This window comes from Homo sapiens, chromosome 5 (genome assembly GCF_000001405.40).
Source record: "Homo sapiens chromosome 5, GRCh38.p14 Primary Assembly".
Lineage (NCBI taxonomy): Eukaryota > Metazoa > Chordata > Mammalia > Primates > Hominidae > Homo > Homo sapiens.
This window is the reverse complement of record NC_000005.10, coordinates 89361931-89388023: the sequence shown is the minus strand read 5'-3', so window position 1 is coordinate 89388023 and position 26093 is coordinate 89361931. Positions and strand designations below refer to the sequence as shown.

Below are 26093 nucleotides of genomic sequence, written 5' to 3'. Positions count from 1 at the left end.
GAATATATAGCAATTTATTTGTAAATTTTCCTAACAATGGTCGTTTAAAAAGAATATTTTTACTATTACAATATTTTCTATGAAATTATTGTACATGTACTCAATCCACATGACCAGGAGTTGTATTAAAGTTTATACCCAAAAGTAGAATTTCTGGGTTTTTATACATGCATATTTCCTACTTTACTATTAATGCCAAATTATTTCCAAGTATATACACAAAAATTTAAACTTTTTCTTGCAGTGTTTAAGAGTTCCCATTACTCTGTATGCTGGCCAACACTTGATTTTTAAATCCATTTATTTTTGTCAGTATGGTGGGTATAAATAGTATCTTGTTGTGGTTTAGTTTTAATTTCTTTGAAATTTAATGTATGTAGATATATTTTTATTTGTTGCTGGCCATCTGTTTTCTCTTCTGTGAAATATACGAGTTTGTATTTTTGTTGATTTTTTATTAGGTAGTTTGCCTTTTCTTAGTGAATTTTAGAAGTTCTTTATATATGTAGATTGATATCATTTTTCAGTTTTGCATGTGCAAATTTCTTACTCCCAGTCAATGGCTATTTTGTGTTTATTTGTAATCAATAAAAAAGTTGTTTCTTTCTTTTGATCAACAGGACTTCTAAATTTTAATGTAAATTACATAAACAATATTTTTACTTGGTGTTTTGACTTAAGAAAACTTTTCACTCCCCAGAAATCATAAAAATATCCTACAATTTCCTATAAAAATTTATCTTCAGCATTTAAGATTTTAACCCACCTGGAATTGATTTTTGTGTATGACGTGATGTAAGGAACAAATTATTTGTTAAAACTGCAAACCATTCTGTTGCCATTGATTGTACAATGTGTCACTTTCCCGTTTTATATCATGTTTCTATATCTGTGTGGGTCTACCTCTTAGCTTTCTTTTGCTGGTGTATTTTATATTCTTTTCCCAATAAATACTGTAGCTTTATCATAAGTTTGGACATGCAGTAGAGCAGTTTCTCCTACTTTGCTTTGCTTTAAGTATTCCCTGACTGTGTTTTTCATTTTCTTTACCAAATAAATTTTAAAAACATTTACCATAATCTACAAAAAGTCCTGTTGAGGTTGTGATTAAATTTGCATTGAAGTTATAAATCAATTTGCACAAAGTTGACAACTTTACAGTATTAAATCTACCTGTCTTTGATCATGATCTACTTTATTTACATATGCAACTTCCTAAACTTTCTTATTAATTTTAATATTGGTCTTTTGAGTTTTTCATGTAGATAATTATGTCATCTGCTAATAATGACAGTTTGGTTTCTTTCTTTCCAATGCTTATTTATTTTTGTTTAACAGGGAAGTCCAGGACATCTAGCATATGATAAATCGAAGTAGTGAAAACTTCCTAGAATTCTGTCATCTCTCAGTTGCCCCCAATAACTGAATTTCTGGCGTTGCTAATACAGTAACTTTATTTTCTGTTTCATGAATTTCTAATCTTAACTGTATTATTTTCTTAGTTTTACTTCCTTTATGCACTTTTAAGGTGTTTTATGATTTTTGCTGACTTCTTAAGTTGGATAAATAATTTTTAACCTTTATTTTATTCTGAGATAGATATTAAAAACTATAGATTTCCTTTTGAGTAATTGTTTTTTGTTGTTGCATCTTATATAATTTGAAATAGTGTTTCAAATATATTTCAAAAATATTTCAAAATATTCAAAATATTCAAATATATTTCAAAAATATTTCAAAAATAGTCAAGTCTGAATATTTTCTAAGTTGCATTTTGAAATCTGCTTTGTCCCATGCGTGGTTTACACATACAATGTAAACAATTTTAACATATTTTTGGTTTGGTTGATTTCTAAATGCATCTAAATTTTAGCAATTTATGTGTTAAGTAATTTAATACTAAGCAATTTTGGTATGTGTGCTATTGATTCTTTGGAATTTTTTGAGACTTTCTTTATGGAACAATATGTTCAATATGTGCTTCAAAAGAATACATATACCACAAAAGTTGGGTGTACAGTTTTTTATATGTGCTTTAAACATATATTTTATTTATTAAACAATAACAAATTGGTTAATTGTGTTGTTCAAATCTTTCATACTTTTACCTATTATTTTATCTTCCTGTTGTAATAGTGAGAGCACCATGTTGAAATATCTCATTCTGATGTCAACTATCACTTTGTATATTTTGAAGCTATATTATTTGGTGCTTGCAAGTTTAGAATTACTACATTTTCCTGATAAATTAAAAGATTTATGATTATATTGTTACCTTCTTCATTTCCAGTGATAAGATTTTTGCCTTTAGAACTATTTGTCTGATATTAACACTGCACAGAATTGTTTTCTAGGTCACCCTTTCTTTGCGATTAACTCTCTGTAAGTGTAGGATCCGTGTGGAGCGCTGGGGTTGTGGGGACAAGGCTTTGTTTCTTGTACTCCACATTTGCCTGTCATTGAAACCTAAGCTCCAGGCTACCCAAGAGCAGTAGACATACCCATGACAACAATTAGCCTCAGAGTTTACTAACTCCCCTCAATTCATCCAATGATTTATTTCTGGCCCTGTTTACATTTCCCTTCCTTACTTAAAAATTAACTTGTTTTCAAATATTAATATAAATATATAGGTATATGCATACATACAAACATACACCTGGGGAAGAGTTTTATTCCTCTTGCCTGCCAAACTCCCAGAAATGGGTGTCTTGCATTCAAATATCTTTTAAATACACCAAATTCCAATCCTCTTCCCTGATATTACCCGCATTCAGATCCTCACTAGTTTTCCTGCCTCTATTCTTCTTCCAACCATTCCTACTACAGCCCAAGCCCCCTTTCTGAAACACAGATCTGTTGGCGGCTCTCTCCCTTATTTTTAGCATAAGGACTGAATTATTTCATATAGCCCAAATGCTCTGGGTGACATAAACTGCTTCTCTCTGCATGTTCTTGACTCACATGAACCCCTACTCATGCCCAAAATGTCTGATTCTGCTATAAATGTAGTTGCCTACTTTTGTGGAAGAACTTCTATGCATGCTTTATAAACATTCTATTAGTTGATCCTTGCGAAAATCTTATTTGTTAAGTATTATTATCTCCATTTTATAAGGAGAGGGTAAGTGACTTTAACCAAAGTCACACAGTTACTACTTGGAATACTTGGGATTTTATCCCATGGCTGCCCGACTTCAAAGATCCTTCTATTAATGTCTGATCCTACTGTTCCTTCTTTCTCATTTCTGGGCTTTTATTCTCTTCCTAGAAAAAATCACGCCCTTCTTTCTCTATCATAACTTTCTCATCATTCGAGTCCTACTTAATCAAGTGCCCTTTTTTATGGGCCTTTCACTCTGATACAGTACCTCTGCTTTTTCCTTCTTTTGCGTCTCCCTGTAGACTGTAAGCTGTGTGAGAGCAAAGACCAATCAGCTTTTCCTCGGCGACATCTTTTGTCCCAGGGCACATACTTTCTAAAGTCCCAGGCCCTGAGGAAACTTCCAGGATGAATTTTTTTTTTACTTGCCTCCTTTTTTTTTTACCCACAGGAAAAATTCATGCTTATAAACATCTCATACTTATACACTCACAATCATTTTTTTTTAATCTCCCCTACACTGGTTCTAAAAATTCTGAAGCAATTTAAGAAAAGGGATTTTGTTTCATGGTAAATCAAAGCATAGGGACTTTTTTATTTTTTCCATTTCAAGAGAACTAGTCACTAGTTCCCAGGTCCTAGAGCACTGATTTGATTTACTGGTTTCAGTGCAGAGCTTCCCATGCTCAAACTTTATAAATAGAAAAAAAAAGTGGAAGTTGTATTTTAAGAACCAGTTCTTTAATAAGCCCAAATGATATTTGTTTAATTGCATGTTGGGCAAGGCTTCCAAACTTTGTGAAATTATAAGAGAAATGTGAATTCCATAAAATGAAAATCTAATCATTATATCTACTTTTGAATCTTCACAGGCTCTACCTGTTTCTTCTTGCACTATCGTTTCAATAAGAATTTAGATGAATGTGATTGATGCATTCCTGTCAATTTTGTGAGAAAATATGCATTTTTAATTAGAAAAAAAAACACTGGTATTTGCTAATCTCTTTTAGGCATTCATACTTTATTTTTATTTTATTTTGAAAATTCAATCAGACTATTCACTTGTTTTCTTGTAAAATATGAAATACTAGATGGAATTTACCTGTCGAATTTAAGATCCTCTTTCTTAAATAAAACCAATTCAACTGATACAACCAATTTTCAAAATTCTCTGCTATTTTTATTGTTTTTCATTCTAGTAAAGTTATTTTTATATATATGTATATATTATATATATGCATACACACACACACATATATATATATACATATATATATATACATTATATATATATGTATATATATATATATATATACTCTCAGACCAGAAATTAACTTTTGATTGTGTACTCTACAAAAAGTCATGCTTAGGTACACTAGGATACATATGCCCAAATGTGATAGCATCCTTATTTACAATAGCAAAAGCTGTAAGCAATCCAATATTTATCAGCAATAGAATGGAAAAGTAAATTAAGGTGTATTTATGCAGGGGATTACTCACCAGCAATTAAAATGAAGGAACTACAGTTATCACTAGCAACACGGATAAATCTTAAAAACCTAACATTGAAAGGAAGAAGTCACACAAAAGAAATATATACTACATTATTACATTCATATTAAGTTCAAAACAAGTAAAACTAAATTATGTAATTTAATGATACATTTTCACATAGTAATACTGTAATGAAAAGCAAGGAAAATATTACTGTAAATATCCGAACAACAGTTTCTTAGAGTGGGAGAAAAGGTGTTATAATTGGGTAGAGCTGTTGACAAAGTTCTCTTTTGTTACTTGGTGGTGAATTACATGGATGTTTGCTTTATTATAATTAATTAAGTTGTGCATTCATGTTTTTTATGTCTTTATTTGTATTTGTGTATTTTACAATAAAAGGAGGATGGAACCATAGTCATATTAGACCATTCTCACACTGCTATAAAGAAATACCTGAGACTGGGTAATTTATAAAGAAAAGAGGTTTAATTGGCTCACAGGTGTGCAGACTGTACAGGAAGCATGGATGGAGAGGCCTCAGGAAACTTACTATCATGGTGAAGGCAAAGGGAAAGCAGGCTCATTTTACACGGCAGGAGCAGGAGAAAGAGAAAGAAGGGAAAGGTGCTATACACTTTTAAACAACCAGATCTCGTACGAACTCACTCACTATCACCAGGACAGCAAGGGGGAAATCTGCACACATGATCCAATCACCTCCCACCAGACCCCTTCTCCAAAATTGGGGATTACAATTGGACATGAGATTTGGGCAGGGACACAAAACCAAACGACATCAACAGTAAAATTCATTCCTTTTTGCTTTCAGTCCAGAGTGTTACTGCAATATGAACTAGACTTACTAATTTCTTATCAGCATATTAATCCATACTCACTGCTTAGGGAGGAAATGACCTTACTGAGGAAAAAAATTATAAAGTTTGTTTTGGCTGAAGAAGAGTCAACCTTCTTCCTTAGCAGGAGGCATAAAATACTAGTTTTCCATTTATGGTGGGGTCAAGCTTGTCAAAAAAGTTTTTTCCCCATGAATAGTGGTCACTTTTGCACTGAAACTAAAGCTGTAAAATAGAGCTTTGTTTAATACAAAGCTAACCTGACTAGTCATTTTAATACCTGATATTCCTTGTATTATTACCATATTCTACTTAATTATATAATTCTATCAGACATAAATCAGGACAGTTGTAACATTCTTATTTTATTAGCCATTCAGTATATAGAATAAATTACAACTTTATCATATTCATGTGTGAATTACCTGGTTGAAAATCTTGTAAGGCTTTTCACTTTTTTGTAGTATTGAAGAACAAACAGACTAATTTATTAATAAATATCAATTGACCAGCAACTCTGTTATAGCTCTGATGCTGGGAACTAGGAATATTAATATTAAAATGATGTGTCCTTAACTTGATTAAAATATTTGTTTCTTATGAGTTAGGCTTTTGAAACTTAGCATTTTATGTGTAGTTCACTCAATGTTTCAACTTAATTAAAAGGGGTATAATTTTTAGTTCATTTAATTTTAATATTTTGCTATTCACCTGTATTATACATTTCATACTCAATTATAGATGTCTTAAGTGATTAGGTTTCTTTTTTTACATTAGAAAATGCAACATTATTCTAGTCAAATTCTAGTCATTTACTAGAATAGTGTTATTAGAAAGGAAGTTCATGGATTTGAGAATATTTATGAAAGTTGGCTGGAAGAAAGAGAGAAGGAGATGATACATCCAGTTTTGGACCTGTTGAAAAACGGCCGTGTGAAAGGGCACGGTTTCAAAGCTGGATGCATCATCAACAACAAGGGTAGAAATTGAGTACTTATTTAAACATGTAGGACTGACTAAAACTCACCAAAAATACATTAGTTGAGGATTTATTCCTTGGATCACATTTTCCCACATGTGAATGATGGTACAGGTGTGTAAATTATGATTAAAGATATAAATGATATTCATCAGGAAGAACGCATTGAAAGATAAGCGTCAAAGACCTAAGAGATATCCCTGAAGACACTAATATTTAGAGAAATGGCAGTGGACAAGAAGTCTACCAAGAAAATTAGAGAGTGATGTAATTACACCGAGGAAACCATGTTTAAAGAGGAGGGGTTAGTTAGCAATATCAAGTCCTACCAGTAAAATAAAGTAAGAATACCTACGAGGGATTTGGAAACAAGGCATTCATTGATGACCTTAACAAAAACAGTTTCAGAGAACTCTTGGCAATGTTTTCCAGTTTGCAATGGGTTGAAGAATGCATTGAAAGTGAAGGAAGCACAGAACAATGACTCTAGGCCACTTTTTCAATGTTTGCCAATGCTAGAGGTAGATAGGACAGTAGCAAAAGAGTGACTTGTGGAAAAGGGTGTTGTTTTGCTTTTGTGATTGGAAAGACCTAAGTATATTTAGACAATATTCTTGAGAAAGAGATAGCAAATATGTAAGAATCTGAAAAAAAAAAAAAGGGAAGAAAGACAGGTAAAAAAGGAGGAAGGAGAATCCAAAGTACAGATAAAAGGATTGGCCTCATAATACCTCTACACTTGTGATTGATTGCAGTGGACACTATCTCCATTTGTTTGTAGTGCTTGGATGACAATTTCCATTCTCTTTGTGAAGAGATAATGAGCTGAGAGTCAGAAGGTAACTGGCTTAGAGAGAAATAGTCATGAAAATCATTTCTTTGAATAATGGAAAAGAGAGCTAGAGAAATAAGAATGAATTGTTCCAATCTTGAAGTTTTTGCAGGAATGTGTGATATAAAAGTAAAATTAGGCAAGGAACTTGAGGCAAGAGGAGTGGCTGAAGTGGTAGGCCAGGGAGTCTAGATCAGTCAGGAATTAAATAGTTTATGGTTGATAAAGACATATAAATTGGAGGATTAAGGGATTAAAGGTCTTGGTCAGTTTGGAGAATGAGGATGACAATAAAACCTGAACAGTTAAGAAGTTGTTGCCAGGGAGTGGAATTTATGATTTTAGAGGTGGATCATCTCTAGGTGATAACAGGCTTCAAGTTTGTACATGACAACTGATCATCAGAATGGAAAGTTAGCAGATCTACCATACTGGCCTGTACATTCCTCAACCTACCATATTGGTTTTAACACCTTTGTCTCTAAGTATTCATTGATCCCATTTATGTTCACTTACAATATCTGGTCATTCTTTATCTGTGTAATCAAAATAAATATACCCAAAGTTCATGAGTCAACAGAAAACCTATTTAATTCAAGCCTTGTCTCAATACCTCGGCCCACTGGGGTTACTTCCTACCATGATGCATAGTGTTAAATGTGTTCTTCCCTCACTGGTCACATGAGTTACCATGGTGTGCTGCAAAAGCTGCATTTCCCACTATCCCTGTTGTTTGTGTCACTGTAACCTTGTTTGTGCTTGTGCCTGTTTTGGAAGCCTGTCACATTTTCCTTCTCTGTCTAAGTCAATTACCTTTCTGAGCTAGGTGCTCTCTCCTCTGTTCTTATCATTCCCTATGTATACATCTATTTCAGCACTTACTGCATTATATTCACATTAAACTTTTTATATTTTATTCCTTACAAGCCTCTGCACTTCTTAAAACAGATTTTTCGTTTTATTTATCTCAGTGTCAAACACTATGCCTGGTATAGAACAGATGTTCAATATGTGCTTATGGAGGTAAATTGAAGTAAAATCTTGTTTAGTCATTCAGTGGCTATGTGGCCCAGACAAGTTATATCTACTCTCCCCTCTGTCTTCATCTCATACATGGGGGAAAATATCTCAAAGAGTTTTTGAGGAGCTGGGTGAGACACCTAATGAGAGGAAGTACCCAATATAGTGTCTGGCAGGTAGAAGACTGTAATGAAACTTTTCCAACTTTAAGTCCAATTTGTGCCATCCTTGTATTTTTTAATTGATATTGAATATATGTGTTGCTATTTGATATTTTTATAAGAATGGCTTACCTACTCAACTAGATATTAAAGTTTCTTGAGACTAGGGAATGTATATTGTATTGGCTTATATATCTCACATTACCTAGCATATATTATGAATATGGATAAGTACCCACTCAACAGATGAATATTAAACATTGCCAATCAAATGAACTACATTCATAGATTTTGTTTGACACCCTAGCTCTGAAATGAATAAGGCAGGATAATTAAAATTTTTTTTCTTTAAAGAGGAGGAGAGTTACATGTAAATATATTTGTATTCAGTGACACAATTCAACCATAACCAACCACTAACTGAATGGGGGTTGAAAGCACGAATTGAAATTTCTATATCATAAACAAAATGCTTTTTTCATTCAATGACTGCAAGTTAAACTGCACAGAGTTCGACTGGTACAGGAAAATTCTGATCTAGGCTACTTACTACATAAGCAGACAAGAGCAGCCACATAAATTAAACGATATCTGATATGCAGATGCAGATAAAATGCTTGAATCATTAAATCTCTTTTCTCTGTTCATAAGAATGTTCCAGCATCATGCAGGCATAGCATTCAGCTGCACAGTGTGTTGAAAATTAAAATGGACAAAAGCCTTGAAACTGATGACCTATCCCAATTAGTGTTGCTCTCTCACATAAATGTATACAATTTTCATTAAAAAGTATATTCTCAATTTATTTCATGATTTCTTGATGATGATAGCAAAGTCTATTTCCTAAACTGTATGGTAGAAAGATTTATAAACATTTTGTTATACAGAAAGAAATTGAAGCAAGAAAGGATCTTCACAGAATAAATTAATAGTGGGTGCATAGAAATATACCTGTTCCTCAGATCTAGCCATTCAGAAAGAAGGCAGGCACAACCCTCACCCATCAAGTCCATTCCTTAATTCTGGCAATTTAATATGGTACTGATCAGAAAGTTTTGAATAATATGCATGTCACAACCCCAGAGTGGAGAGCTGATTTGACTTGTCTATTTGTTTGTACATATTTTGAATTTTTTAAAATGACACAATACAACTTGAAAAGGAAACATTTGATTGCAGGAGTTCATATGTACTCTTTATATGTTTTCATAAACCTTCTTCATCTATATTTTCGGCAATTTTTCTTGGACGTCTAACAAATACTGAAATCAGTTTGCCTCTCCACTTACCCTTTCATAATGTTCGTGACACAATCCTGTGTAATTTGACACCTTGGAACTTTAAACAGACTCAGAATCTTTTGGACCTTCTAGCCATCATCAATTCACATAGTGTGCAGTAAATCCAGCTCAAAATAAACAACACAGATGGAATCGAAGCTTATAGTACAATGTCAGCAGTATCCACAGATTGACAGAGCTAGTTAGGCTGCCAGATGCACAGAATGTTGTTCTATCTACTTGTTCTTTATAACTGGACTTGATGGAGTACATCAGTGTCAAACTCCTTGCTGGTTTCCACACGCACACGCACAGAAACGCACCCGCATAAACACGCACATTCCTGCGCTCTATATCAACGGCACCATCTGCTCTCAGCTTTACATGTGGTAGCTAACTAACTATCCTACTGTGCCTGGTCTCACCGACTGCTTTCCCTGGAAACAAATGACAACAGTTTTTATCTTGTGCCCTCCTTGGCATTATAAAATAAGGCTCTTAACATTTCCATACGCATATATTTTACATGCATTTTAAAAAAATTCTGTTCTCCGTTTTATTTACTGGTTCCCTAGAGAATGGCAATATCTCTTTTTATATCTTCCCCAAATTGAGATTTTCCTATGGAACTGCATATACAATGATTGTTTCTTTTAAGGTTTACATCAAAGCAATATATATAAAAGCAATGGACCCTGGGATCATTTTCCTCTCTATATACTATTTTGTAGGGTACTACATACTACTTGCAAAATGGGGGTGTGAAAAATGTGATGATACAATAGATGCAAAAGCATTCATTCCTTTTCACTATTCTTCTGTATAATTCTATTGGCAATAATGACCATGCTGGAACTGTTGAGATGGAGGTTGGTGGGGGGTGGGAGGGGGCTTGTATAAACATGAAATACTTTCATATACAAGTGTCTTACCTGTAGGAGGAAGTCCATGTGTTATTCTTTTCCCAAATGCAGAATTTTTGTCTTGACCTCTTTGCCATCTCATGTGAGATCTAAATGTGTAGTAAGATATAAAGGGGATAATCACTTTTTTAACCATCAAAATTAAATTGTAATGTCTTTTCAGAGCAATACATTCACTTGAACTAGGAGTATGAAATGTCATAAGGAGGATAGATGGAATGAAATTATTGAAAGATAACCCAGGTTTGGGCTGTACCAAATATCCTTTCCTGACCCTTTTCCATGTCTAACACCTGTCTTTATGACAATCTCTCCAGAAGATCTACAGAAATTATACTTACCTTTGGGTAACTAGGTAACATAATCTCCTGGAGGCTAGCTAATTGCAGCCCACGATAACCTCACATACAGTAACTGTTAAACTTTTCATTTATTTCAAATTATTATGGATCAGTGGAGAGGGTACTGATTTGATTCATTAACAGATTCCCAGTCTGTTCCAAGGTTAATGATTACATGTATCTCAATTACATCCTTAACAGGTTATACTGTATGATTTGTTTTAACTGCTTTGTACATTGTGTATCTTTCTCAGCTGAAAGGCTTCTTAGCACTTCGTGATTTAACAAATCTTTCTCCTCCTCTTACTAAAACAATGAACCTGCTCTGATGGAACACATAAAAGTAGGACAAAAATGAGCTGCAAAAGCTTTCTGCAGAATCTTCCAAGAACCATAGCAAACAGTTTACTTTAGTCAGGTAAATACTCGGCAATTCATTCATATTTGAAATATTAATAAGTATGGAGCAGAGGGTTGATCTTTCCTCTTGGTATTTTATACCACCTTCCTTATGTAGGAGGCACTTTATTTTTTAACTTTGATCTTTTGAATATATACAGAATGAAATTCTTCTTAGAAAAGCAGGAGCAAAATATATATTTTTAAGTCACTGTAATTCTTCCAACAGAAACCAGATACATCTTAACAGATCTGTAGAACCAAAAAGTATGAAATAATTAAAAATATAATAACCATGTATACTGTTTAGAATGATAGTAAGTCAAACTCAAATGATTTATAGGTACGCTTTTCATATCTATAATGGATAGTCAGGCACGAGGAGAGAGAGAGATCCATTGCCGGGATTCTCTAGCAAAGACCCCATCTACCAATTCGAAGATGACACATTGATTTTGACAAGAAGGAAGACAATTATGTATTCTAGTACCTCTATTTTCTTTTTTCCTCTTACTACTGCCGCCAAGCCTACTTGCCTCTGTACATTTAGGCAAATAAATTTTTTTACTGTATCCTGAACTAGAATTGTTGAATCTAGGGACTGTCTAAACATGCTTTCTTTGATGAAAAATCTTTGCTTCTTGCTCATAGTAATATAGATTCCATAGCAGAAACTACATTTTAAAGAATGTTATTGCTTTTACTATCCACTTGTATTTTGAACAAGCAAAACACCAGACTCCCCTCCTTCTGGAACCCCCAAGATTCTGACAGAGTTTGGGGACTCAGAAGCCAAATGGGAATCATCAGGAGGAGAGACTTCAGTTATACAATCCATTAAATAAAACAATAGAGCCTGCAGCTGAGCTATTAAAAAGAGTAGAGCAATTTTTATTTCAATGGCTACATTTTATTTCCTCTTCTGAGTGACTGTTAACAAAGGGCCGCTGAAAGGACTGGATAAAAAGCAGGCGTCAGATGCAGGATCCATGAGTTAAACAACATTATTAGATACAATTTCATAAAATCTAGTTGCTTTTTTGCTACTAGAAATCATGTCCTTTTGTCAACTTGTGGTCACATCAGCACTTCTGCTGATATAATTTGCTCCAGCTGCAGAGCATAGCTGGCCTGCAAATCAAGAACCAGAATGAGGACAGGCAGGAATAACTCAATGGCTTGGATAATGTGCAAATCACTACACTTCTTGCTATTAGTCTACTTTTTTTTTTCAGAATATTTGGAAGAGGAAAGATTTATCTTTAGCAAAACAGCCAATCAGCCACCCTCTTAAGAACTGGTTTGTCTGGTTATCTTCTCCTGAAGCCTAACCCTCCCTGCAGTAATGCTTTATAATCATGATATTATGTATTTTTTTCAAAAACTTCTATTGCCCACCACAGAGTAGCAACTTGAACACCTAATGTTAAATAGCTACTGCTTTTATTTACTGCTCCCCTAAAAAAAATTCCCTTAGATTTAAAAATATTCCTGAGTGTTCCTGTTTATTATTCTTGCATTTCAAATGCTTCTATGTGGCCTGGAATGTACAGGTTTACAAAGTAATACATATCACTCTGTCAACAAACTGCTTTATAGCTTCAATTCTGGATGCAATATAGTTCCAATCAAATATGAAATACAATACTGCCTATTGACTTAGGCATAAATTAAAATGGTAGAGGCTTAACTAGTCATTCAGCATTGAGCTTCACCCTGATTAGAAACTCTATTGATTTACATTGAAATCAATTAGAACTGGATCCCAACCATTTAAAATTCAGCCATAATTGAATACTCAACAATCACTTCATGTACAGAGAAAAGAGTTTCTAAATAAAAGCAAAGCCCAAGTACTCTTGCATATCTGAGAAAATCATTATATATGGTGAGCAAATAAGAGGGAACAAACAATAGCATATACAGCTGGAACAGCTGAATCAATGTTCCTATAACAAGAACAGTTTATCAGGTGTGCAAAAGCAGCACTAGCCTGTTGTTCACCAGTGCAAGTGAGCTGATATTCTCTTTTCATGGCATGGCAACCTTCCAGGGCCAGGTGCAATCATAACTGCAAACTCATTATGTAACCTGTCACCTTCTAAAATTCATTGCTGCAGTAAGTACCTAAACCCAAAGCTATGGTTGGAATATTTCCCTTTTTTTCTTTGTAAACTGACCTGGAAAATATTGTGGCTACAAAACATGCTTTTAGATACCATTGTTTTAGAAAAGACAAAGAGAAGGAATGTGCCACATACTTGTGGCACCAACTTTGTTTTCTTTTTCACAGAATTGCACAGTGAGATGGAGATTAGTCCGATACCTCTTTCTGTTTCTGTTTTATTACATGTTGCAGAGGTGAATTTGCCAAAACCCAGAATTCTCTTTACTCCTCAGATAAGAATGGAAGTTATAACATTTTATGAAATGTATGTGGGTAATTTTCACCAATCCTAAAAGCTTTAGAAGTTTGATCCTGCTAGATGTAGACTAGTGAACCTCATGGGCTCTAGCCTAGAGAAACAAATTTTAATTTCTGAATGGTATGAGAGCTGAGTTTTCACATATTTATATATATATATATATATATATATATATATGATATACACACTTTTATTATTGTTCACTTTGGGTGGGTGGAAAAATTGTGGTTCATTTAAAATAGAATCAAAGTTTATGTGATATTGCTAACAAATCTGAAATGTTTAATCATTACATCAAGCAACTCTTTTTGTTCAAATAAACAAGAAACAAATTGAATGACTTGCAAGAGGTTTTTACCTCTCTGAGAAAGAAAAACATCATGTTACAAAAGAAATGGGTTTTGAAAGATGAATGTTAACACCTCTGATCACACTCTTCTAATTCTGCCCTTACCTGGCCTCCTTACAAGTAAGGCTAGATCCAAAAGGTAGGTGAAAGGAATGAGGCTTACAATTGGTAAAGTCACTCTTGAATATGAACAAGTTATTTTATGAGTCTATGTTCATATCTCAGAATAAGCCATTCTCTTATCATCATTAAGTCAAAAATGGTTGTAGCAGTGAGCAAAATGTGTGAGATACTTTTAAAATGACAGTACACCCAGACTTGCTTTAAGGCTACCAAATTGCTATTTCCTTGTCAAACCTTAGATGCTCCTCTGGTATCTTGAATTTGTGTCTAGACAGAAGAGTAACAAAAAAATAGCAGCTAAAAAAGTGCTTCTAGCATTTTCTTTCATTTTTCAGAAGGTAAGGTATAATTTAGTCAGTCCACATTGAAGTTCGAAATAAACTTTTCTTTATAGAACTTCTCTTCTCTTAACTCATAGATTGCTTGTGGGTAGTAGTCAAAATCAAGCAGAAAAATATAGGTGGCATTGAGTCTACTGTATCAGTCTAATAGTCTGCTTAACAATATGGTTTCAAGAATATTGTACTTGGAAGTTGCATTACCCCAGAAACATATAAAGAATATTTTTGAGCACTAAGTATACTGTTACTCGGGTCTGTTTCATGAAGTTTTAATACAGTGTGGGGAAGATAAGTATTTCCATCCCATTAGATTCAAAGACTCATTGTTCAAATATAAATATCCAACACCTTCTCAGCTTGAGTGCTATTTTGCCAGTTGCTTTTGCTGTCAGTTGTCTTTTCTTGTGAAAGATAAAGCTTTCTACAATAGCAAAAATTATCTGCATGAAGTTTAATCTTACTGCATTTGCTTCCCTCTCCTGTATGCTACATACTAATACACATGTCTATGGAACACAAGATGATTATGAGACAGAAAAGTTTACATTGGGATATTTTCTAATATTTTGAGGGTTAACAGAAATAGTTAACCTTAATGGATCACAAAACTATTGAGACAAATTCCATTGCAGAAGGAAATCTGAAAGGACATTAAAAAAAAAAGGAAGAAGAGGAAGAAGAAGAAGAAGAAGAAGAAGAAGAAGGAGAAGGAGGAGGAGGGGGAGGAGGAGGAGGAGGAAGAGAAGGAGGAGGAGGAAGAGGAGGAGGAGGAGGAAGGGGAGGAGAAAGAAAAGAAAAGGAAAGAAAGAACGAAAGAAAGAAAGAAAAGAAGAAAGAAAGAAAGAAAACAACAACAAAATCCTTGGAACAATTTCTGTTAGTTTATCAAATGTTTTGTCTGTTTCAAACAGATTAGTGAGTCACTGTCTTTTTGTTTTGTTTTTATAGAGAAGTTCTGTTGACTTAAAACACTACTGCCAACATAGGCAGAAATACCACAAGTATAGTTGTATTACAAAAGTACTTAAAGCAAAGAAAAACAATATTTCAGAGCCATTCCTGCTATTGAAGTCTCCTGAATTTTCATAAAACATTTCCAAGGACTCAGTTAGGGTTCAGAGGTTCTCCATGAGTTCTAGTCAGCCCAACGCAGCTCTACTGTGAAATGCAGGGAGATGCAGGCTTGGCTTATATAGTGGTAAATGAAATAAATGATTGTGATTATTTGAATATCTTTCTCATGGGTTTTTCTTAGAACAATGTGTATTTGTAAAGCTGTGGAAAATTCACACACAAAAAGAATTTATGAGCATTATGTTGTGTTTTCATTTCTTTGACCCTGAATCAAACAATTGTGTTTAATGCTTGTGGCTTTTGTTGTTGATGATGTTTGCTTTCAAGTTTGGATGCAGACTTCATAAAATAGAGAATAACTGAATTAATACCCAACTTAGTATGTGCTCTATGAAGCAAGTATTTAAGGAAAACTCTCATTCCCCTGCTGGATTGTGAGACTGACTAAGTCACAGATTGTGTCCTGCTAAGATATGCATGTCCTGGTGAACAGCAGAGTTCCTTGCACATAGCAGAATGATTGAACATTTGCAGAGTTAAAGTGAAATCCAATTGAATTAAAATGGCAGTAACACAGCATTTATTTGACAATTCTCTAAAACAGACAGCTGATAAATGGACAATTTCTAGCATCAAATGTTACCATTTATGAATTAAGATCTTGATGCGAATAAAGAAGTACCCTAAAACTTGAAGTATAATAATAATAAAATAAAATAAAATAAGAAGTATGAATTTATATCTTTATGTTAGAAGATTATAATTTTGTTAGCTTAAATTTTTAAATACCTGTATAGTTTCAACATAATTGACTTAATTCCTCATAGCTTTTCTGGAAGCAAAAATAATTATCATTCATTGGCTGTCAACCCTGTCAGGGCACTATATTAGATGTTTTACACTTCTTTTTACATTTTATTTATTAAAATTGATACATTTTTAACTGCACACATATTTATGGGGTACAAGTTTATAGTTCAATACATATCTATGTTGTATAATGATCCAACAAGGGTAATGCATCCATCAGCTCATGCATTTATTACTTGTTTGTGGTAAGAATATTCAAAAATCTCTCTTCTATCTATTTTGTATTATGCAATACTTTATTGTTCACTATACTCACCTTAATGTGCAATAGAATACCAGACTTTATACCTCTTATCTAATTATAGCTTTGTTTCCATTGTCCAACCTCTCCCTGTTCTCCCCTCATGTTGTTCTACTCTCTGTTTTCATGATAGATACTTGTTTTTAATTCCACATATAAGTGAGATCATGCAGTATTTGTCTTCCTGTCTGTATCTGGCTTATTTCACTTGACATGATACCTTTCATGTCCATCCATGTTGTCCTAAATGACAAAATTTGATTCTTTATTTTTTTTTTTTGGCTAAATAGTATTCTATTGTGTACATATACCACATTTTCTTTGCCCATTTATCTGGAGAGGAGCATTTAGGTTGATTCCATAATGTAGCTATTGTGAATAGTGCGCCATAAACATGGAAGTACAGATATGTCTTCAACATACTGATTTAATTTCTTCTGGGTATATAGCCAGTAATGGGATTGCTAGATCATATGGTTGTTCTATTTTTAATTTTTTAAGGAAGCTCTATACTGTTTTTCATAACGGCTGTAGTAATTTACATTCCCACCAACAGTGCATAAGACCTTCCTTTTTTCCACATCTTTGCCACCATCCCTTATTTTTTGTGTTTTTGATAACAGCCATTCTAATGGGAGTGAGATGCTATCTCACTGTGGTTTGAATTTGCATTTCCCTGATGATTAGTGGTGTTGAGCATTTATTTTATATACATGTTGGCCATTTATATATCTTTTTTTAAGAAACGTCTATTAAGGTATTTTGCCCATTTTGTAATCAAGTTAGTTTATTTTTTTTGCTGTTGAGTTGTTTAAGTTCCTTATATATTCTGGATATCAACTGCTTGTTAGATGTATAGTTTGCAAACATTTTCTTCCATTCTCTGGATTATCTCCTTACTATAAATAGTTCTTTTTGCTATGTAAAAGATTTTCAGTTTGACGTAATCTCAATTGTCTATTTTTATTTTGTTGCCTGTACTTTTGAGGTCTTATTTCAAAAATATTTGCCCAGCTAATGTTGTGAAGCATTTCCCCTATATTTTCTTCTAGTAGTTTTATAGTTTCTTTGGGACTTTACATTTAAGTATTTAATTCATTTTGAGTTGATTTTTATATATGATGAGAGGCTTGTGTCTAGTCTCATTTTTCTGCATGTGAATATTCAATTTTCCCAGCACCATATATTAAATAGACTGTCTTTTCCCAATGAATGTTACTGACATCTTTGTTGAAAATCAGTCGGCCATTACACACCAAAATTACACAACAAAATTATAGTTGGTGTGTAATTTTTTTTCTGGGCTCTCGATTCTTTTCTATTGATCTACGTGTCTGTTTTTATGCAACTATCATGCTGTTTGGTTGCTACACGTTTGTAGTATATTTTGAAGTGAGGTAGTGTAATGCCTCCAGCTCTGTTCTTTTTGCTCAGAATTATTGAGGCTATTCAGGTCCTTTGTGGTTCCATATGAATTTTAGAATTGTTTTTTCTATTTCTGTGAAGAATGCCATTGGTATTTTGATAGGGATTGCATTAAATCTGTAGATTGCTTTGGGTAGTCTAGCCATTTTTAACAATATTTATTCTTCCCATCTCCTCTTCAATTTTCTGGGATAGTTTGAGGACAATTGGTATTACTTCTTTAAATATTTGATGGAAATCAAGAGTGAAGTCATCAGGTTCTGGGATTTTCTTTGATGAAAGACTTTTTTGTTATTGATTTCATTTCCTCACTTATTATTAGCCTGTTCAAATTTTCTATTTCTTCATAGTTTAACCTTGGTAGGTTATATATGTCCAAGAATTAATTAATTTCTTCTACGTTATCAAGTTTGTTGGCATATAGTTTATGCAATAGTCTCTTATGATCCTTTGTATTTCTGTGGTATCACTTGTAATGATTCCTTTTTCATGTCTCATTTTATTTGAGTCTTCTCACTTTTTCCTGACCTAAAGATTTAATTTTATTTATCATTTCAAAAAATTAATTTGTTGTTTTAGTGATCTTTTTCATTCTTTTTAGTCTATTTCTGCTTTAAGTTTAATTATTTCCTTACTTCTACCAATTTTGCCTTTAGTTTTTTCTTCTTTTTCTAGAGTTTGAGGTACATTACTAGGTTATTAGAAATATTTCTCCTTTATTGAGGTAGGAGTTTATCATTATAAAATTGTCTCTTGAAACTGCTTTTGTTGTATCTTATAGATTTTGGTATGATGTGTTTTTCATTTTCATTTTTCTCAAGGAAATTTTAAATTTTCCTTTAAATGTCTTTATTGACACATTGATTGTTTAATAGCATGTTGTTTAATGTCCATGTACAGGTAAAGTTTCTAAAGTTTTTCTTGTTGTTGATTTCTAGTTTTATATTTTTGTGGTCAGATACTTGATAAGATTTTTGTCTTCTTATATTTGTTAAGACTTGTTTTGTGACCTAACATGTGATCTATCCTGGAGAATGTTCTATGTGCATGTTAGAAGAATGTGTATTCTCCAGCTGTTGGATGGAATATTCTATAAAAGTTTGTTGGGTTCAGTTTGTCTATGGGTCAGTTTAAGTCTGTTTTTTTTTTTTTTTTTTGGTTAATTTTTTGTCTGTAAGATCTGCTCACTGTTGAAAGTGGAGTGTTGACATTCCCTAACATTATTGTATTGTAGTCTGTCTCTCCTGTTAGTCTAATAAAATTTGCTTTACATATCTGGGTGCTCTGCTGTTAGATGACTGCTCACAATGTGTGGTGGGATGAAAAATGCCCCTCCAAAACATACCCAATGATCAAATCCCAGGAATCCATGCATGCTACTTTATATGAAAATAAAAAAAGGATCCTTGCAGATGTGATTAAATTAAGGATCTCGAGATGGGGAGATTACCCTGAATTATCTAGATGGGCCCTAAATGCAATAAGTATCCTTATAAGATGGAGGCAGAAGGAAATTTTACACATAAAGAGGGAGAAAGAGAGAAATGGCAGGAGGGTGAAGGAGAGAGAAAAGAAGAAAGCATTGTGAAGACAGAGGAATATGAAAGTGATACAGTCACAAGCCAAGGAATTCCAACAGCCAACAGAAGATGTAAAAGGTAATAAATGAACTCTTCTCTGGAGCCTCTGGAGGGAATATGGAGGGAGTGTGCTTGATTTTGGACAAGCAATACAGATTTCAAAATTTGGGCCTCTAAAACTATGAAAAAATAAATTGCTGTTGTTTTAAGCCACCAAGTTTGTGGCAATTTGTTACAGAATCCTTTGGAAACTAATGCACAGTCACAGCACTTTGGTAGTAATAAAGTTACAATTCGAACATAGTATATTAGGATTCTACTGCTGTGTAACAAATTACCACACATTTGGCAGTTTAAAAAATACCCATTTATCATCTCATAGTTCTGTAGATCAGACATTTAGGTGAAATTGACTGGAATATTTTTTGATTAGGGCTGCACAAGGCTGCATTCGATGTGTTAGCAAGGATGAGATCTTATCTGGAGGCTTTGGGAGAAATCCACCTGGATAGGTTTGGCCCACCTCAGTAATCTCCCTATCTGAAACTCAACTCATTAGTAAACTTACTTAAATCTGAGAAATTCCTTTTATCACATGACATAATTGCCAGGGAGTAACACCAAAATGTATTAATAGATTAGGAGTGCCATCTTAGATTCTGCCTACTGTATTTGGTCTCATGACTCCAAATTCCATGCTATATTATCTGTCATACCACACTGTCTTCCAAAGCACTTTGTCCAGAGTTCCTTAAAACAGGGGTTTCCAACTCCTGGGCCATGGACAGGTACCAGTTTGTGGCCTGTTAGGAAATGGGCCATGCAGCATTACCAACTGAGCTCTACCTCCTATCAGATCAGCGGTGGCATTAGATTCTCCTAGGAATATGAAACCTATTGTGAACTGCACATATGAGGGATCTAGGCTGTGCACTCCTTATGAGAATCTAATGCCTGATGACCTGAAGTGGACCAGTTTCATCCCCAAACCATCACCCACTGCCCTGTCCATGAAAAAATTGTCTTCCAGTAAACTGGTCCCTGGTGCCAAAAAGGTTGGGGACTGCTGCCTTAAAGAACACCTACAACAGCTCATTAATTATCATGTCTGTGCAGTGCTTGTCTTGGTAGCAAAATGTCTTTATACCTGTTTCTATTTAAACTAGCAGAGATAACTTGTGACATTGTAGCACCATTTCATGTTTTAAAATCCATCAAGTATTTTGCACTTTCCTACCTAAACATCCATAAAAGCAACAGAATGACTCTCAGAGGAACAACAAGGAGAGTCATAGAGGTGGGAGATAGGGTTGTAGCAGACATTCGAACATTTTCCCAGAGACTTACAGAAGATACATAATGGCCCCCAGTTGATATTCTGGCCGGATCCCTCAATCACCTTTACCCATAAGATGTTCCCTACTTTTAGTTTGCCTTGCTTCTGATTACTCCTAGAAAGATTGCCCTGGGGTTACTGGAGCCACTCTGCTCTTGTGGCAATCTACCTGGAATTGCCTAGGAGCTTATGTTTCTCTGGGGTGACCCACAGAGTCTCCCTGGGGTGGCTGGTAAAGAAACACAACACCAGTTTATTTGCCTTGAAACATGGCAAACTGACGTGTAGTTTACGCTCCACTGCTTTCTCTGGAAACGGGCTGAGGCTGGGATTTCAGCTGAAATTGCACGGCCCCACACACACACTTTTTTTTTTTTTTTTGGTTCTTCTCCTTCTCCATTCTGTATTGCATAATCAATTTCTCCTGGGAACCTGCTCTTCATAAATCACTTACACTTGAATCCTTGGCTGAGGGTTTCCCTCTTGGATGACCTGACCTCAGACATGAAATACACTTTGGGCACTTTTCTAGAGCCAGGAGCATTAAGGGCTAACCACTCTAAAAACCTCTACTTGGCAAGAATTTTTCCAGGCTGTTTTGTGTAGATAGTGAATATAGCCAGGTCACTATTTGGCAGCCAAGTTCTCTGCTGTCAAACAGATACCTCTCCTAAGAATGAAAGTGTGTGTTGGCCAAACAGGGTACTTGGTCTTTCTTTGAGCTTTTGGAAATCTTCCTTAGAACAGTACAACTCAAAGACTTTTCCAGCACCTCTGGAGATAAACCTGTCTTTGGTCACTATGTGAAACCCATTGCCTAAAGGTGTGCATATAGTTTTTACTGACTCTGATTAGCTATCTCTCTTATGTGTATACATGTAGTAACTGATTAATTTTAAGTACCTGTGGAAACTACAATGGTGAGTACATAAATTCAAGGCCGAATGAGTTTGAAAAGGGCATTTTAAACATTATATTAGTTATTCCAAGTCTGTAGTTGATTTGTGAGTGTGAATACAGAATACAAAATAATGATCCACGGATGGATCCACTAAGCCTCTTAACTGCATATTCAGGTGCACATGAATGGTACTACAAGCAGAATCAGGATTCAGGATGAGAACTCGCATAAAATAAGGGAGCAGGAGGTTTAAAAAATGTGCCAGGGTTGCTCAGCAGAGACTGTTGAGATACAATCTGTCCAAGGATGAGGCAGTGCTCAAGAGCTATGTATAGTGAGGGTTTTAAGAAATCCACCTTGGTGCCCTAATGTCTCTTGTATTAAAAATAAAAACAAAAAAGAAAAAACTTTTACATGGCAAAATGGATTATGCAGATGAAATTAAGGTTACTAAATTAGTTGACTTTAATTTACGTTAATTATTCTAGTGAAACTCATCTAATCACATGATCCCTTTTAAAAAAGTTCCAGGTATCTGGTGCCATTTTGCCAGGACCCACTGCCAAATTGCAATTCTTGAACACAAGGAAGCTATGATGGCTGGTCTAGAGCTTTTAGGTTCAGTCATTACAACAAGCTCAGTTCCATGGAATAAATTCATTACCTGAGCAATAATATTTTATATAATCAATTGCTGTCTTGGCGAGAGTAGATTATCATTTTATATTTGCTGAGTGAAGGAGCTCCATATCCAACCAAATTTCTAAGAACTATTTTATCAAAACTTCATCCCTTTGAGGCAGACTAAGCACAAAAGAGTAGAGAAAGGGGACTAAGAATTCAACCTGGATAAGCAAAAGGAAACGCTAACTCTATTTAGTAAACATCTAAAAATACCATCTTCTAGTGTCAATTGATGAGTACATTAGCACAGAGTTTACTGTCAGGGCACCATACATAGTAAAGCCTTTAATGGGTACTTCTCCTCAGGAGGAGTTAAAAAGGAACATGAGAGTACTGGTATCATTTCATTTTCCAGAAACATTAGGGAAGTCCTGAAATGCACCCCTCTGTAGTTCGTTTAGTGTTTACCAATTTTTGATGTTATACCCTCCAGTAAAATGCAGGATGTGCAAAAAAATGATAAAAAGAAAATTATGTTTTTGAAACAAATGAAGTAAATCAGAGCAAAATGTTGGAATCCTAACTTGTTAATTAAATAGTGTTGAATAACTCCTTCTTGCTAAATTTTCCAACTATTTATCATTATAAGATTCACATTTTTTGTACTATGTCATCAACTGAATACTAAACAACTCTAGGTTAAGGAAACTCTCAGTTTGAAGTTTACAGTTTGGTTTTTATTAACAGGTCAATGTAATTTGGTGGGAAGTTCTTTGGACCAAAAGTCAATAGTGTGATCTAGATCTGTGTGGGCAACTCACTCAGCCTTAATAATTTTGTTCTAATTTCTTCATATTAAAATGATAATAGCTAGTATATTAGCTTACCTTTAAGATATCTTGATTCTACTTAAGTTTGGACTTCTATCTTATAGGAAATACCTTGCAGTGAATCATATAAACTCAAACAAACTAGAAAAACCATTTATGTTATAGCTGAAATTATATTGGTGTGATTTTGTTTCCTTACCTCTTGTGCTATTTACTCCTTTTGTTAATTATGTCATTAGTTTTTTCCTTCGTCCCCATTCCTTATATAGGTTTGTTTGTTTTGTGTGACCACTTAAAATGCCTATTATTTTTTATATTCCCAAATTGTTAATTTACCAAAATAAAATTGTTACATTTCACTTTTTCTTTGTTTGTGCTTAATCTAAAAATATACCTTTAAGATTCATGCACTTCGCAAATTGTTCATTTAGTAGGCTATTATAACAGCAGCATAGTACTCTGAAGTATGTGTGCATCTATCACATTTTTTCTATATCCACTTCCCTGTGATGTACTCCCAGATGTCTCCAACTCTAAAACAAAAACAATGCTGTCATCAACATCCTCATAAATATTCCTATAAGAATTTACTTAGGGTATATTCCCAGAAGCACACTTGCAGGTTCACATTATACTTTTGTATTTAATTTGACTAAGTACTGTCTGTTTGCACCCAAAAATGGCTGTGCCGTCTACAGACCAAGGGATCCTGGATGCCTATGTTCTTATCAACATTTGGCATTATCCAGTTTTCTAATTTTTGCCAAAGAGACATATTTACCTTCCATTTCTCTGACAATAAGATGAGTATGATTTACATAATTTTACCCTTTTGGGTTTTTTCTTTTGTAAATTTTCTTTTTATTTCCTGTACCCATTTTTTTGAGATGCCTTTTTCATGATTTTTTAGAGGTCCTTGTATAAATTTCTAGATAGTAGTTCTTTTACTCTTTTAAATAGTGCAATTATTTGGGCTTTTTGTAATACATTATTCATTTTGTTCAAAGAGTTTTTTTGTTGAAGAAAAATTTATTTTGATAGATGTAATTATTATAACCAATGTTTGCCTTAAGGTGTGTGGTTTGAAAATTTTATTTAAGAAGTCTCTTCATGTTTCTACAAAAGAAAGTTGCTCCTCAATAATTCTTCTATTAACTATATAGTTTTACCTCTAATATTAACAACTTGAATCCATCTCTGTACTGTCATTGTCTATAGAATCTACATTTAATGTAAAATAAGATTTATTTTATATATGTTTGTACTGACACTTTGTGATATTTTAACTGTTGCAAGTAAAAGTCAAATTACACTTATTTTATTAGTAGAAAGTTTTTGAACAATTCTACAACAGTTTCATAACTTATCCCATGCTGTTTTACAATTGTAATTTTTCACTTATAATCTCTTTACTCCACACCAGCACCATTACTATGCCCTGAGAGTCAGTCAGTCCTATGAGCATGTGCCCATCCTTATATGATGCTCTATTTATAACCTTAACTGTCTTGTTCCTAAAATATTGCAGAAGATTCCTACCTAGCCATAAAGCTCCATTTTAAGGACCTACTCCAGAAGAACCCTCTTCAATTCTGCCAAGATTTCCCTTCAACCGTTTTCCCCCAGCCCCAGCATATGGTCTTCAAATTGCCATTAATACAGGTGAGGTCAATTAGGGATACATTTTTCCCACACTGAGCCATTCTCTTAAGTCTTTTATTTTTGGTATAAACTTTGTTTCTTGTATGTACAAGGGTTAGGCTTTTGAAATTCAGTTAAGTCCAGTATCTTACAATTTAAACTTTGTTTTTCTGAAACCCAAAAAATTAAAGTTTAACTTTATTTTTGTTGGGATTTTTTTTCTTTGTTCTTGTTCGTTTTTTTCAGGTAGCAACTATCTCTTGGTAAAAATCAGTGTCTCTGACTAAATGGTGAAGAGCTAGGTTCAGAAAGAATACCAGGAACAAAATTCAGCTTGCTGAGTGCGTTAAAACTTGTACTGTTAAATGCTGGTCTCGGCAAGAGGGCTGAAGTTGGGTTAATTGAGATAGAGGGCAATAAGTTTCAGGCCCACGTTAGTCACCAGGGTAAAGAACACAGGAATCCAAATGGAACTGGGAATCCTTGGAATGGAATCAAGTTAACAAGCTTCAGATAGGATAACAAGGAGAAAGGAAGCTAAATGATGAAGTATACAAGGATTCAAAAGTAGACTAGGAGAACCACTAGCACATTTAAGTGAACCCCAGAACTTTAGAGACAGAAAAGCCATAAAGATTAAGGATGGAAAGGATCTATAATATTATTTGATTTAGTATCCTGCCTTCAGATTGATAGTTTCCTTATCCATACTATAAGCAAGGTGACAGAGGCCCATAGAAATGCACCTTTATTCTTAGCACGTGGGTGAGTGGAGGTAAGAAATGAGGTCTCCTTTGCTCCCAAATCAATCCTCTCAAGTATCATTATTTCCCTTCTGAGTCAGTCACCTTCCCCTCAGCAAGCCAGCTTTTGAGTCAAGTCCTGGCAGGGAAACTAAATTGCTTCTTAAGACCACTAAAATTTCTACCGAAAGGGTTAA

At 34.1% G+C, this 26093-nt stretch overlaps 1 long non-coding RNA gene across 6 annotated transcripts in view, besides 1 other annotated feature; it reads right to left on the bottom strand.

The window, feature by feature from the left end:
* MEF2C-AS1 (MEF2C antisense RNA 1) overlaps positions 1–26093 on the bottom strand; it is a 584252-nt gene that overhangs the window by 79558 nt on the left and 478601 nt on the right. For all 6 annotated transcript variants that reach the window (NR_136218.1, NR_136219.1, NR_136222.1 and 3 more), the window contains one exon: positions 10662–10741. This is a non-coding gene — a long non-coding RNA (MEF2C antisense RNA 1). The remainder of the gene's footprint in view (positions 1–10661; positions 10742–26093) is intronic.
* Positions 9347–10431: an enhancer, noted in NCBI's record as "VISTA enhancer hs789". NCBI's record gives its function as "enhancer in: eye[3/7]" and the evidence as "EXISTENCE:transgenic organism evidence [ECO:0001131][PMID:17130149]".